Raw genomic sequence first — 14,782 nt, 5'->3', positions numbered from 1 at the left:
ATTTTCAAGACTCTCTCTTTATCCTTGACTTCTGATACATCAAACTGTCCTTGATAGTTTGATTACAATATGTCTCAGTGTGGGCATCTTTGGGTTCTTCTTTGTCAGCATCCTTCGAGCTTCTAGAATTTGGATGTCCATTTTCTTCCTTAGATTTGGAAGTTTGGGCCATTATTTCTTCAAATAAGCTCTCTGCCCTTTGCTCTCTTTCTTCTTTTTAACTCCTATAACATGTATATTGATAGGCTTGATGATTTTTCATAAGTCCCTTATGCTTTCTTCACTTTTACTAATCCTTTATTCTTTTTGTTCCTGTGACTTGATCATTTCAAATTATCTGTCTTCAACTTCACTGATTCTTTGTTCTGCTTGATCAAGTTGTCTATTGAACCCTTCTAGCGAATTTTATAATTCAGTTATTGCAATCTTCGGCTCTGGAATTTCTATTTGTTTTTTCTTCCTTAGTTTTTGTCTCTTTGATCATATTGTCACTTTGTTAATGCATTGTTTTCTGGATTTGTTTTTAGTTGTCTATCTGTGTACTCTTGTATCACATTGAAGTTCTTTAAGACAATTATTTTGAATTCTTTTTCAGGTCATTAATTGATCTCTTTGTTTAAGGTCAGTTCCTGGATATTTATTTTGTTCCTTTGGGCCATTTTTCCCTATTTCTTCACATGCCTTATTATTTTTTACTGGGATTTGTGCTTTTGAAAAACAGGCAACTCTTCAGTCTTTGTGGCCTGGCTTTATACAAGGAATGATCTTCACTAGTCACCCAGCTAGGGATTCTGGGGGCCTCTCAAGCCTTTTCTGGGGGGATGCACCATGAAATACACCAGCTCCTCATTTGCCTTCCACCATGATTGTATGCATCTTGAGGCCCTCACCAGAAGCAGATGCCAGCACCAAGCTTCCTGTACAGCTGCAGAACTGTGAGCCAATTAGATCTCCTTTCTTATTTATGTTTGTATATATGTATGTATTTTTAGAGACAGGGTCTCTCTATGTTGCCCAGGCTGGTCTCAGACTCCTGAGCACAAGGGATCTTCTAGCCTTGGTCTCCCAAAGTGCTAGGATCACAGATGTGAGCCACCACACCAAACCTAAATATTTTTTCATTATAAATTACTCATTCTTGAGTATTTCTTTATAGCAACACAAAAATGGACTGATACATAAATCCTGCTAGGAAAGCCATGGTAGCTTTGTATAAAAATTTTTGTAGAAAAAATTTTCTTACTGATTAAATTTATTTAGTACTATTTCTACTGTGTTTGTTTCTGTAATTAGCATTTTTTCAGTTAACTATCTTTCACAGTTTTGTGGTGTTGAGTTGTTCAGTATGTCCTCTACTTTTCATATTATTATTTGTGGGATTGATAGTGATAGTCCTCTTTCATTCTTGATAGTGTTATTTGTGCACTCTTTGTTTTTGTCCTTGAACACTGTTACTAAAGTATATCATCTCATTAATTTTTGCAAAGAAGCAACTTTTGGTTTGGTCAATTCCTTTTATTTATGTTTGTTTTCTATGTCATTAATTTCTGTTCTTGTCATCCCTGTGTCTTTCACTCTACTTTCTTTAGATTTAATATACTTTTTCTCTGATTTCTTCAAATGGATATTTTGTTTTCCTAATTTCTTCAAATAGATAATCGCTCTTTCAGCCTTTATTCTCTCTTTTTATGTTTGAAGGCTAAAAAAAATCCTCTAAAGTACAACTTTAGCTGCTTCCAACAAGATTTGATATACAGTATATGGAGAGCTTTTATGTAATTAAGTGTAAATTTTTAATTACAGTTCTTCTTTAAACCTTGAGTTACTTAGAAGTAAAGCTCTGTCATAGGCTCTATTTTGTCTTTTTATATATAGAGGTGGGTTTTGGTTAGTGTTTGCACAGTAAATCTTTTTTAGTTCTCTTATTCACAAGCTCCCTGTATCCTTGTGTGTTGAATGTGCACTTTGTCATTTAAAAAAAAGGTAAAGTTTGTTAGGTTTTTAATACACTTTAACAAACTTTTTACTTTAATTGGATCATTTAATATTGTCTTAGTCCATTTTGTGCTGCTGTAACAGAATACCAGAAAGCCGGGCGCAGTGGCTCATGCCTGTAATCCCAGCATTTTGGGAGGCTGAGGCAGGCAGATCACCTAAGGTCAGGAGTTCCAGACCAGCCGGACCATATAATATGATGAAACCCTGTCTCTACTAAAAATACAAAAATTAGCAAAGCATGGTGGTATGCGCCTGTAATCCCAGCTACTCGGGAGGCTGAGACAGGAGAATCCCTTGAACCTGGGAGATGGAGGTTGCAGTGAGCCGAGATCGCACCATTGCACTCCAGCCTGGGCAACAAAACCAAAACTCTGTTTTAAAAAAAAGGAAAAAAAAGACAGAATACCAGAGACTAGATAATTTATTTTATTTTATTTTATTTGAGACAGAGTCTCACTCTGTCACCCAGGCTCAAGTGCAGTGGCATGATCTCAGCTCACTGCAACCTCTGCCTCCCGGGTTCAAGCAATTCTCATGCCTCAGCCTTCTGAGTAGCTGGGATTACAGGCGCACACCATGATGCCTGGCTAATTTTTGTATTTTTAGTAGAGATGGGGTTTCACCATGTTGGCCAGGCTGTTCTTGAACTCCTGACCTCAAGTGATCCTCCCATCTCGGCCTCCCAAAGTGCTGGGGATTACAGCCATGAGCCACTGTGCCCGGCCTAGATAATTTATTTTAAAAAGAAATTTATTTCTCATAGTTCTGGAGGCTTGGAAGTCCAAGATCAAGGGGTCAGCATCTTGTGATTGCCTTTTTGCTGCTTCATAATGTGGTAGAAGGCATCACATGGATGAGAGAGGGAGAAGGGGGCAAACCAAACTCATCCTTTTGTAAGGAACCCACTTTCATGATAACTAATCACGATAATTACTCATAACATTGCCATTAATTCATGTATTAGGGCAGAGCACTCCATAACCTAATCACCTCTTAAAGGCTCCACCTCTCAATGCTTTACATTGGGGAGTAAGTTTCCAACACATGAACTTTGAGGGACACATTCGAACTCTAGGAAACATATTAACAGTTCATGACAAAGCAAACATGCAACACACAAGTTAATGAAATTTCTAATATATCTCAATTTAAAGCTACCATCTCAATGATGCTATTTGTCTCATTTGTTCTATGTTAATTTTTCTCTCTTTTCTTGATTCCTTTGAGAGTATTTTGGTCCATTTTTCCTTTCACTATTAAGTATGATATTTGATATGGGTGTTTTATAAATGCCTTTATCTAATTAAAGAAGTTTCCTTGTTTTTAGTTTGGTAAGTGTTTTTCTCAAGAAAAGGTGTTGGAGTTTTTCAAATGATTTTTGAGATGTTCATGTAATTTTTGGTTTTTAATCTATTGTGTGATGTATTACATTAATTATTTTTAAAATGTTAAGTCAACCTTACATCTCTGCTGTAAATATCACTTGGTCATGGTGTATAATTCTTTTTATATATTGCTGAATTTGGTTTGCTATTATTTTGTTTAGAATTTTTTATATCTGTATTCATAACAGATATTGCTCTGTAGTTTTCTTGTAATGTCTTCTGTGGTATTTGTATAAGGATAATAATGGCTTCATAATGAGTTGGAGAGTGTTCCCACCCCTTTTTTAATGTGAGATATTAGCATTAATTCTCCTTTAAATGCTTGGTAGAATTCAGTGATGAAGTATTCTGGGCCTAAGATTTTCTTAGTGGGTAGTTTTTTATTACTTTGCTTCTTATAGGTATATTCGGATTGTTTATTTCTTGTGTAATCAGTTTTGGTAGTTTGTATCTTTCTAGAAATTTGTCAGTTTTATCTAATTTGTTGTTACGTAACTTGTTGGCATACAATTGTTCATAGCATTTCTTTAAAATCCCTTTTACTTCTGTAAAGTCGGTAGTAATGTCTCCTCTTTTATTCCTGATTCTAGTAATTTGAGCCCTCTTTTTTTTTCTTGTTCAACCTAGAAGCTGAAAATTTCAACCTAAAAATTAAATATTTATCAATTTTGTAGATGTTTATAAAGAACCAGCTTTTGGTTTTATCAATTTTTTCTATTATTTTTATTGTCCATCTATTGTTTTTTATTCTCTATTTCATTGATTTCTATTCTAATCTTTATTATTTTCTTCCTTTGGCTTGCTTTGGGTTTAGTTTCCAGTCTCTTAAGGTGAAAGGTTAGAGTATTGATTTAAGATCTTTTTTCTTTTTTAACATAGGTATTTACAGCTATAAATTTCCCTCTAAGCACTGCTTTACTCGCATTCCTTTACTTTGGGGATGTCGTATCTTCGTTTTCACTCACATCAATCTATTTTCTGACTTCCCTTTTTATTTTTTCTTTGTCCTATTGGTTATTCAGGAGTGTTTTGTAAAATTTCCACATATCTCTGAGTTTACCAAATTATTTTCCTGCTATAAATTTCTAATTTCATTCCATTGTGGTCAGAGAACATATTTTGTATTATTTCAATTCTGTTAAATTTATTGAGGTATGCTTTATGGTTTAGCATATGGTCTGGAGAATGTTTTATGTACACTTGAGAAGAGTATGCATTTTGTCATAATTCAGTGGAATGTTCTGTCTTAGTTCATTTGTGTTGCTATAAAGGAATACCTTAGGCTGGATGATTTATAAAGAAAGGAGTTTTATTTAGCTCATGGTTCTGCAGGCTTTACAAGAAACATGGTACCAACATCTACTTCTGGTGAGAGCTATAGGCTGCTTTCACTCATGGACTCACGGCAGAAGGCAAAGGGGAGCGGACGTGTACAGAGATCACATGGCAAGAGAATGGAAGCAACAGAGAGGGGAGGAAGGGAAGTGCCAGATTATTTTAAACAACTAGCTCCCATGGGAACTCATAGAATAAGAACTCAGTCATTAATATGAGGATAGCACCAAGACATTCATGAAGGATATACCTCCATGACCCAAATGCCTCCAATTTAGTCCCTACTTCCAACATTGTGGATCAAATTTCAACATGAGATTTGGAGGGGCCAAATATCCAAACCATAGCATGTTCTATAGTTGTCTGTTAGGTGTAGTTGGTTTATAGTGTCATTCAAGTCTTCTTCTACTTCTTTATTGATCTTCTGTCTAATCATTCTATCATTGAGAGAGGATATTGAAATGTCTATTTATTTCTTCATTTCTGTCAGTTTTTTCCATGTATTGGTGCTCTGTTATTAGCTGAATATATATTTATAATTGGTATATTTTCCTGATGGGTTAATCCTTTTACTGTTATAAAGTATTCCCACTGATGTCCAGCAACATATTTTGTTTTAAAGTATATTTTGTCTATTACTGTAGGCTCTCCAGCTTTCCTATGGTTGCTGTTTTCATGACATATCTTTTTCCATCTTTTTACTGTCAATCTATTTGTATCTTTGAATTAAAAGTGTCTTTCTTGCAGACAACATATAGTAAGTAGAAGCATGTTTTTTGTAATTCAGTATGACAATTTTTGCCTTTTGAGAAATGTTTAATTCGCTCTCGCATTTGATATTATTGATATAATTAGATTTATGTCTATTTTATTTTTGTCTTACATATGTCCTGTGTTTTTTCTGTTCTTCCATTGCTGCTTTACTGCTTTTTCTGCATTAAGTAAATATTTTCTAATGTAGCATTTTAATTTCATTAGGATTTTTCCCACTATATTTTTATGTCATTTTTTAGTGGTTGCTCTAGGGCCTACCATATATATTTAACTGATCATAATCACCTTGAGACTTAAACTAGTTTAATTCCAGTGATCTATTAAGAACACTATTCCTATACAGCCCTGTTCCATGTCCCCCATTTCTGTGGTATTATTTTTATATGCATTACATCTATTAATTTTACAAACTCAATGATACATTGTTATAATCATTTTCTTAGCCCATTACATGTTTACTCCCACTTACCACCTTTGTGACGTTATTGGCAAATATATTTCACATATATGTTATAGGCTCAACAATGCATGATATACATATTATTCTGTATAATTGCTTTTAAAATAAGTATGAGACAAAAGAGAAAATATGCATTTATAGTGTCTTTTTAAAAGACAGTAACTTTCACTGATACTCTTTGTTTCTGTGGAACAAATTCTGTGGATTCAAATTACCATTTAAGGTAACTTGTTTTCAACCTGAAGAATTTTTTTTAGTATTTCTTGAAGGCAGGCCTAATAGCAAGAAATTCTCTGGGTTTTTGTTTTGTTTTGTTTTTTAACCTAAGCATTTCTTTATTTTGCCTTCATTTTTCAAATATAGCTGTGATGTATATAGGATTCTTCCTTGATGATTTTTTTCTTTGAACACTTCAAATATGTTATTTCACTGCCTTCTGACCTGTGTTTTGTTATGAAAAGTCAGCTGCTAATGTATTTGGGGTTCTCTTTTAAGGGATATGTCATTTTTCTCTTGCTGCCTTTAAGATTTTTGCTTGTCTTTGGTTTTCACCATGATGTTTTTGTTCGTAAATCTTTTCTAATTTATCCTGTTTGGAGTTGATTGACCTTTCTGAATGAGTAGGTTGTTGTTTTCAATAAATTTGAGAAGTTTTCTGCCATTATTTCTTTGAATACTTTTTTCTCCTTTCTCTCCTCTCCTTCTGGTACATGGTTATATATATGTTGTTATGTTTAATGGTGTCCCGCATATCTCTGAGGCTGGTTTTTTTGTTTTTTGTTTTTTTTTTTTTTTGTCTATTCATTTTCTCTCTGTTCTTCAACTTGAATAATGAGCTGACTGTGGTATTGTTAGCACTCTCTTTCTGTCTCTGGCCACATCCAGATGTGAAACCACTAATTGCTCAATGATTGTTCTTTTGTTTTCAAGAGTGCCCTGGGGCATTGATGCCTCTGCAAAGACATCCGATCAAATTGTGATTCCTTTGAAGGAACCGTTTCTGAGGTCTAAGCTTCATATTTTTCCCCAGGAACTCAGAAGTGCTCCTCCCAACTGTCTTGTTCCTCAGTTCTGTCCTGAAAACTATCCAGCCTGGTTTAGGCTTTCTCTTCATAAATTCATGAATCTCCTTTCAGATGCCTTTCACTACAACTTGCACTGTTCTCTAGAGGCCCTTGGGTTTAAACTTCTCCACATTCTGTTGCACAAGAAGTCAATTCCAATGAGAAGAGATTGGAAGCTATCTGTTTTATGGCCTTCGTCTCCAATCGGGCAAAATTTTTAAGAAATCACGAGCTGGAGGTGTGGAACATGATAAGTTTTTCTTTCAGTGACACCTAAACATGTAGAAGTTCCTCCTCCTCTTTGCTTTTTAAAGTGGTGATTTTAAAATTTTTAATTGCAGTTGTGCATGACTAGTAGCAAATCAATTAATTTTTGTTTATTAAACTTGTATCCTTGTATCCTAGCTAAACTCTTTTATTAATTCTAGAAGTGTTTTTTTTTCATAGTGGTTTTTTTTTGGACTTTTCCGCATGTACAATCATGTCATCTGTTACTAGAGGCAAATTATTCCTTTACAAACTACGATATTTTATGTCTTGTCTTGCCATGTTACACTGGTGTTTTAGCCCATTCAGGCTGCAGTAACAAATTACCATAGACCAGATAACTTACAAACAACACAAAATTATTGCTCACAGTTCTGGTAATTAGAAAGTCTAAGATCAAGGTGCTAGCACATTTGGTGTCTGGCAAAAGCTCCTTTTTTTCAAAGATGGCAGCTTCTAGCTGTGTTCTCACATGGTGAAAGAAGCAAACAAGCTCCCTTGAGCCTTTTTTATAAGGGCGCTAATCCCACTGAGGAGAGGAGAAAGCTTCATGACCTAATCCCCTCCCAAAGGCCCACCTCTTAACATAATTACATTGGGGAATTCAGTTTCAATATATAACTTCCTGGGAGACACTAACATTTAGACCATAGCAGCTAGCTATGATTTCCAGCACAATGTTGAATAGGAGTAGTAAAAGAGGACATCCTTGACTTGTGTCTGATCCTTGGGTAGACATATTGAGTCTTTCACAACCAAATATGATGCTAGCTTTGGTTTTTTGTACCTACCTGTTTTCATATAAAGAAATGTCCTATTTATTTCAAATAGATTGACAGATTGGATTGAGAGTTTATTTTTTCATCATAAATAGATTGTGAATACTGTAAAGTACTCTTTATACTTCTATAATCATATGGTTTTCTTTTTTAAAAAATTTTTGTTTGGGCCAGGCACAGTGGTTCATGCTTGTAATCGTAGCACTTTGGGAGGCCAAGGTGAGTGGATCACAAGATCAGGACATGGAGACCATCCTGGCTAACACGGTGAAACCCCGTCTCTACTAAAAATACAAAAAAAAAAAAAAAATTAGCCAGGTGTGGTGGCAGGCGCCTGTAGTCCCAGCTACTCAGGAGGCTGAGGCAGGAGAATGGTGTGAACCTGAGAGGCAGAGCTTGCAGTGAGCCAAGATCGCGCCACTGCATTCCAGCCTGGGCGACAGAGCGAGACTCCATCTCAAAAAAAAAAAAAGAAAAAAAAAATGTGTTGGTATGGTAAGTTACATTGATTGAATTTCGAATGTTGATTGAGCCTTGCATTCATGGGATACACACACTAGATTGTAATATATTGTTGACTTTATAGCAGCATCAACTGAAACAGAAAAAAAAGATTTATATATTGCTGGATTCAATATGTTAATTTATATTGATGATTGTTGCATCTATAATTGTGAAGGATAACAGCTTGTAGTTTTCTTCATCTCATTGGAATACTGGACTGATAAGATGAGTTCTATTTTCTGGAAGAGATTGTGTAAAATTGGTATTATTTCTGCCTTAAATGTTTTTAGAACTAACCTGCAAACACTTCTGGGCATGGCATTCTCTATATAGAAAGCTTTTAACCATAAAATCAATTTCTAATTTCTTTATAGATAGAAGACTGGTTTTTTTCTTCAGTGAGTTTTGATCATATCTTTTAAGGAATTGATCCATTTTACTCTGCTTATTTGAAGCATTTTCACATTATCTTTTCAGTGTCTATAGGGGTCTGTAATGATGTCCACTTTTTTATTCCTGATACTGGTCAGTATGGCCGGAGATCTACAGCCTAATTGTGTATTTGTTCATTTTTCCCTTCAGTTCGATTCACTTTTAGTTTATGTATTTCGAACTCTGTTGTTAGGCATATACATGTTTAGGATTGTTGTGGCTTTTTGGAAAACTGACTCATTATTACATTATGTCCTCCTTTATCTCTGATGATATTTCTCATTCTGAATTTTACTTTGATGTTATAGGGGTGTGTGTGTGTGTGTGTGTGTGTGTGTGTGTGTGTGTGTGTGTTGGTTGGTGTTTACTGTCTGCATGGTATATCTTTTTCCATCTTTTTAGTTTAACTCATTTATATCTTTATATTTAAAGCAAGTTTCTTGTTGACAACATACAATTTGGATTGCCTTTTTATTCTGCCACTTGGTCTCTGTTTTTTAATTGATGCGTTTAGTCCCTCTCAATTTAAATTGATTATTGATAGATTTTGATTAAAATCTTTCATCTTGCTACCTGTTTTCTTTTTGGTCCCTCTGTACTTTTTTATCTTTCCTTTTTTTAATGCAGTCTTTTGGGTTGCTGAAGACTTTTTATTGTTCAATTTGATCCCCATTATTGCCTTATTATTTATAACTCTTCTTTATACTTTTGGTGGTTTTCCTGGGTTTTATAATATACATATTTTTATTAATCAGAGTCTACCTCCCAATATTATTCCATTTCACATGTAGTATAAGGAGCTTATTGTTATATTCTCAATTATTTCCTCCATCCTTTCTGCTATTGTCACACATTTTACTTTTCCATATGCTATAAACACATGATACACTGATCTTATAGTTTGCTTGAGACCGTTGTCTTTTAGAGCAATTAAAATTAAGAAAATTTTTAAATAGACTTTATTTTATGTACATTTGCTTCATTTCCAGAATGCTTTATGTTTTTCTGTAAATTCAAGATTCTGTTGGTATCGTATTTTTTTCTGCCAGAAGAAATTCCTTTAACATTTCTTATATTGCAGGGCTGCTAGTAGAAAATTTTCTCAGTTTTTATTTATCTGAGAAAGTATGTCTTCTTCATTTTTTAAAGATATTTTGCTGAATATAGAATGCTGGGATGACAGTTTTGTCTTTCTGTAGTTTAAACATGTCACTTTATTGTAATCTGGCTTGCATGGCTTCTGAGGTGAAGTGCACTGCAATTCTCATCTTTGTTTCTCTGTATGTAACGTGTCCTTTTTCTCTGGCTGTCTTCAGGGTCTTTTCTTTGTTTTTTGTTTTTGGAAACTTGAATATGACATACGTAAGTGTGGTTTCTCTCTTCCTTCTTTCCTTCTTCCTCCCTTTTCTTCCTCCTTTCTCTCTCTTTCTTTCCTGCTTGGTGTTATCTAAGCTTCTTGAATCTATGGCTTGGTGTCTGTCATTATTTTTGGAAAAATTCCCAGCCAACATTTCTCAAATATTTCTTCCCCTTATTCTCTTTCTCTTCTCCTCTTGGGATTTGTATAATGCATATATTGCATCATTTGGTATTGTCCCACAGCTCTTAGATGAACTGGTTTGTTTTGTTTGTTTGTTTTTTGGGGTTTTTTTGAGTTAGAGTCCTGCTCTGTTGCCCAGGCTGGAGTGCAATGGCACAATTTTGACTCACTGTGAACTCCGCCTCCTGGGTTCAAGAAATTCTCCCACCTCAGCCTCCCGAGTAGCTGAGATTACAGGCATGCACCATCACCCCTGGCAAATTTTTGTATTTTTAGTAGAGACAGGTTTTCGCCACATTGGCCAGGCTGGTCTGGAACTCCTGACCTCAGGTGATCCACACACCTCAGGCTCCCAAAGTGCTGGGATTACAAGCATGAGCCACCATGCCTGCCTGGTTTGTTTTTTTAAAACTGTTTGTTGTTCTTTGTTTTTCTATTGACTTATGTTCAACTTCATGTTGATTCTTATCTTCACTGTGTCTAGTCTACTGATGAGCCAGTCAAAGGCATTCTTCATCTCTCTCACTGTGTTTTTCATTTCTAGTATCACCAGTTGATTCTTTCATACAGTTTCCACCTCTCTGCTGAATTATCCACCTGATCTTGTATGTTACCGGCTTTTCCTTTAGAGCCTTTAACACACTAATCATTACAATTTTAAGTTCCCTGTCCGATAGTTCCAACATCTCTTGCTTTCTCATATGGCTCAGAGTTTTTGTTTAAAAACAAACATTTAACAGTAGTGACAGAGGTAAATAATTTTCATACTTGGAAATGAGCACAACTTTCCTTCTAGGTCTTTAATGTGGGGGTTCTATTAATCTAGTCAGGAGTTGAGTTTGATTTGAGATTTAACATTGCAATGGTTATTCTCATTATATAACAGACTTCAAATTCTAGTGTTACCTTGTGTTTAGAATGGGGGCTATTTTGCGAGAATTTTAACTTCCCTTTCTCATAAGGATGACACTGTTGGCACTCCTCCATCCCCACATTTTAAGTTTTTTCCCATGGATGGTGAGGGACAAGGGAGGGATAGGGGAGAAGTGACCTATACCACCAGGAACAGGAAGCTTTCTCAAGAGTCTCCTCGGTCTTCTCTGTGACTACCTGGTGAGAAACAATTCATCTTTTAACTTCATATGTGAAATTTATATATTATATGCAACATATGAAATCTATTAATTGCTCTATTAATTTTATAACCTGCTGTCTTGCAGAATTCTTTTATTTTTTGTGGTGGTTTTACCAACTATTTTACAATTTTGCTCTCTAGGGTTTTCCAGATGTACCATTTTGTCATCTGCAAACAGAGATAGTTCTTCTTTTTCAGGTTTTATGCCTCCAGTTCTTTCCTCTTACATGATTGCATTGGTTAATATATTAAGTAATAATAGAGCTAAGAAAATGTTTGCCTTGTTCCTAACCTTAGTAGGAATGTCTCTAGTGTTTCCTCATTAAATAAATCAGTGATTTTAGTATGAGGTATATACATGGTTTATCATGATAAGGATATATCCATTCATTTTTTCAAGACTGTAAGTACAAATGGGTGCAAAATGTTTCCAAAGGCTTTACTGGTCTCTGTAGAAAGAGTCAAATAATTTTTTCTCCTTCAACTTATTAATGTGGTTCATTTTATAGTATATTTCTTATTATTGAATCATCTTTGAGTTCCTGGTATGGATTTGCTTTTCACTGCAATATTGATTTAGTTCTGTAGTTTGGGGAAGTCTTTATTTTTCTTTTTCTTGATTTTTACTTTCTCGTGACCAGAGTATTTCTCAAGTGTATGTATTTCCCCAGAATGAGTTCATGGGTGGTTAACTTTTAAAATCTTTTCTTATACATAAAACATTATTTTTGCTTTCATGATTAATAGTTCAGCTTACTGTATCATTTTTGAGACAAGACAGTTTTCCCTCCAGCCTTGAAGGAAGCCTTCTATTTCTCCTTAGCACATCCTGCTGCTGAGCTTGTTTCTCTGCCCATGACCTGTGCCACCCCCTCCCCTTATCTTTCTCGTAGTTCATGGCAAAATGCCCAGGTATTGATCCTTTCTCTTCTTTTTACTTCTTTTTTATAGAGAAGAGGTCTCCCTGTGTTGCCCAGGCTGGTCTTGAACTCCTTGGTTCAAGCGATCCTCCTATCTCAGCCTCTCAAAATAATGGGATTACAGGTGTGAGCTACCACACCCAGCTATCTTTTCTCAATCATCCTATCAAATAACTTGAGAAAGTTTTAATTTAAAAACTGTTCCTCCTTGTTTAGCTCTGGGAAATTATTCCCCCAACATTTCTTTATTTCCCCATGTAGTAGACAAAATAATGGTGCACCAAAGATGTCACATCCTAATCCCTGGAACCTACGAATATGTTATCTCACATGGAAAAAGGGACTTTGCAGATGTCATTTAAAATCTTGAAATGGGGAGATTTTTCTGTATTATCCCAGGGAGCCCAATGTAATCACAAGAGTCCTCATAAGAGGGAGGCGAGAGGGCCAAAGTCAGAGAAGATGATGTGACAGCAGAAGCAGAGGAGATGGTGGTGCAATGAGGGAGGCAGGAGTCAGAGTCAGAGGGAGAGATCTAAAGAGGATACACTGACGGCCTTGAAAATATATAGGTCTACAAACCAAAGAATGCAGGCAGCCTCTAGAAGCTGGGAAAGACAAGGAAACAGATTGTCCCTTAGAGCCTCCAGAAGGAATGCAGTCCTGCTGACACCTTGATTTTAGGACTTCTGACCATTATAGCTGTAAGAGAATAAATTTATATTGTTGCAAGCCATTAAGTGTGTGGTTATTGGTTACCAACTGGTTATTGGTTATTGGTTACACTGCACTTCCCTCCATTCTTTCTTTTTTTCTGTTCATTCCTTCTGAACTCCTAGCAGACACATTTTACGTCTCACTCTGTCACCTAGGCTGAAGCACAGTGGTGTAATCTTGCCAGGGTTGGTTATAAACAACAGAAAGGCAGTTTCTGCCTCCCGGGTTCAAGCGATTCTCCTGCCTCAGCCTCCCAAGTAGCTGGGATTACAGGTGCCTGCTGCCTCACCTGGTTAATTTTTGTATTTTTAGTAGAGATGGGGTTTCGCCATGTTGGCCCGGCTGGTCTCAAACTCCTGACCTCAGGTGATCCGCCTGCCTTGGCCTCCCAAAGTGCTATTATAGGTGTAAGCCACTGTGCCGGGCCTATCAGACACATTTTGACACCCTGGATTGATGCTATGCATCTCTCACCTGCCCTGTCAGACTCTTCAGCTTTTTGTCTTCTTGCCCTACAGTCTGGGAAGTTTAACTTTACTTTCCTATCCTCCTCCTGATTTGTTTTTAATTTTTATCATCACATTTTTAATGTCTCTAAACTTTTTTGATTCCCTGATTTGTCCTTTCTCTAGTTTCCTGTTCTTGTTTTGTGGATGCAACATCTCCTCAAACATCTCTTGAGATGTTAATTATGACTCTTATTCTATTCATTGCCTTTAGTATCTATTTCTTCCAGGGACAACTGTTACTTTTGTTCCTCTTCGTCCTTCTGTCTTGTGACTGTTTTCCTTGTTTGCCTATCATGTACACAGATGAAAGATAAGACTTATGCATACAGATAGCTGCCAAGGGTCCCCTTTGTGGTTCCGGGGTCTGTTTACTCAGCAGGCCTCTCCCCTTCCTGGGAAGGCTGGCTTGACTTCTGCTTAGTCGGGTGAGTCACACCTGGCAGCCCTCACCAGAGGGTACCCAGCTTCCTCATCTTTACAAAAAGACCAAACTACCGAAGGCTTTACTCCAGCATATACTAACCCTCCTCCTAAGTTCACTTCTATTTCCTAGCAAGATGTTTTCATCAGTTCAGGTTGTTACAATAGAATCACACAGCCAGGGTTGGTTATAAACAGCAGAAATTCATTTCTCACAGTTCCAGAAACTGGAAAGTCTAAAATTAAGGCGCCAGCATATTTGGTGACTGGTGAAGGCCTCTTCCTGGTTCGTAGACCGCAGTCTTCTTGCTGTGGCCTCACCTGGCAGAAGAGGAGAGGGGGTTCTCCAAGCTCTTTTCTTTTTTTTTCCTTCTGTTTTTTTGAGACGGAGTCTCGTTTTGTTGGCCAGACTGGAGTGCAGTGGTGCGATCTCGGCTCACTGCAATCGCTGCCTCCCGGCTTCATGCAATTCTCCTGCCTCAGCCTCCAGAGTAGCTGGAATTACAGGCGCACACCACTACGCAGGCTCTTGTTTTCTAAGGC

At 36.4% G+C, this 14,782-nt stretch overlaps 1 protein-coding gene across 1 annotated transcript in view; it reads right to left on the bottom strand.

Annotated features, from left to right (window-relative positions):
- KLF13 (KLF transcription factor 13) overlaps positions 1-14,782 on the bottom strand; it is a 108,831-nt gene that overhangs the window by 15,731 nt on the left and 78,318 nt on the right. The window lies entirely within an intron of this gene.

Source organism: Homo sapiens, chromosome 15, assembly GCF_000001405.40.
Source record: "Homo sapiens chromosome 15, GRCh38.p14 Primary Assembly".
In the NCBI taxonomy this organism is placed as follows: Eukaryota; Metazoa; Chordata; class Mammalia; order Primates; family Hominidae; genus Homo; species Homo sapiens.
Note: the sequence above shows the minus strand (reverse complement) of the source record. Positions and strands in the feature narration are given on the sequence as shown.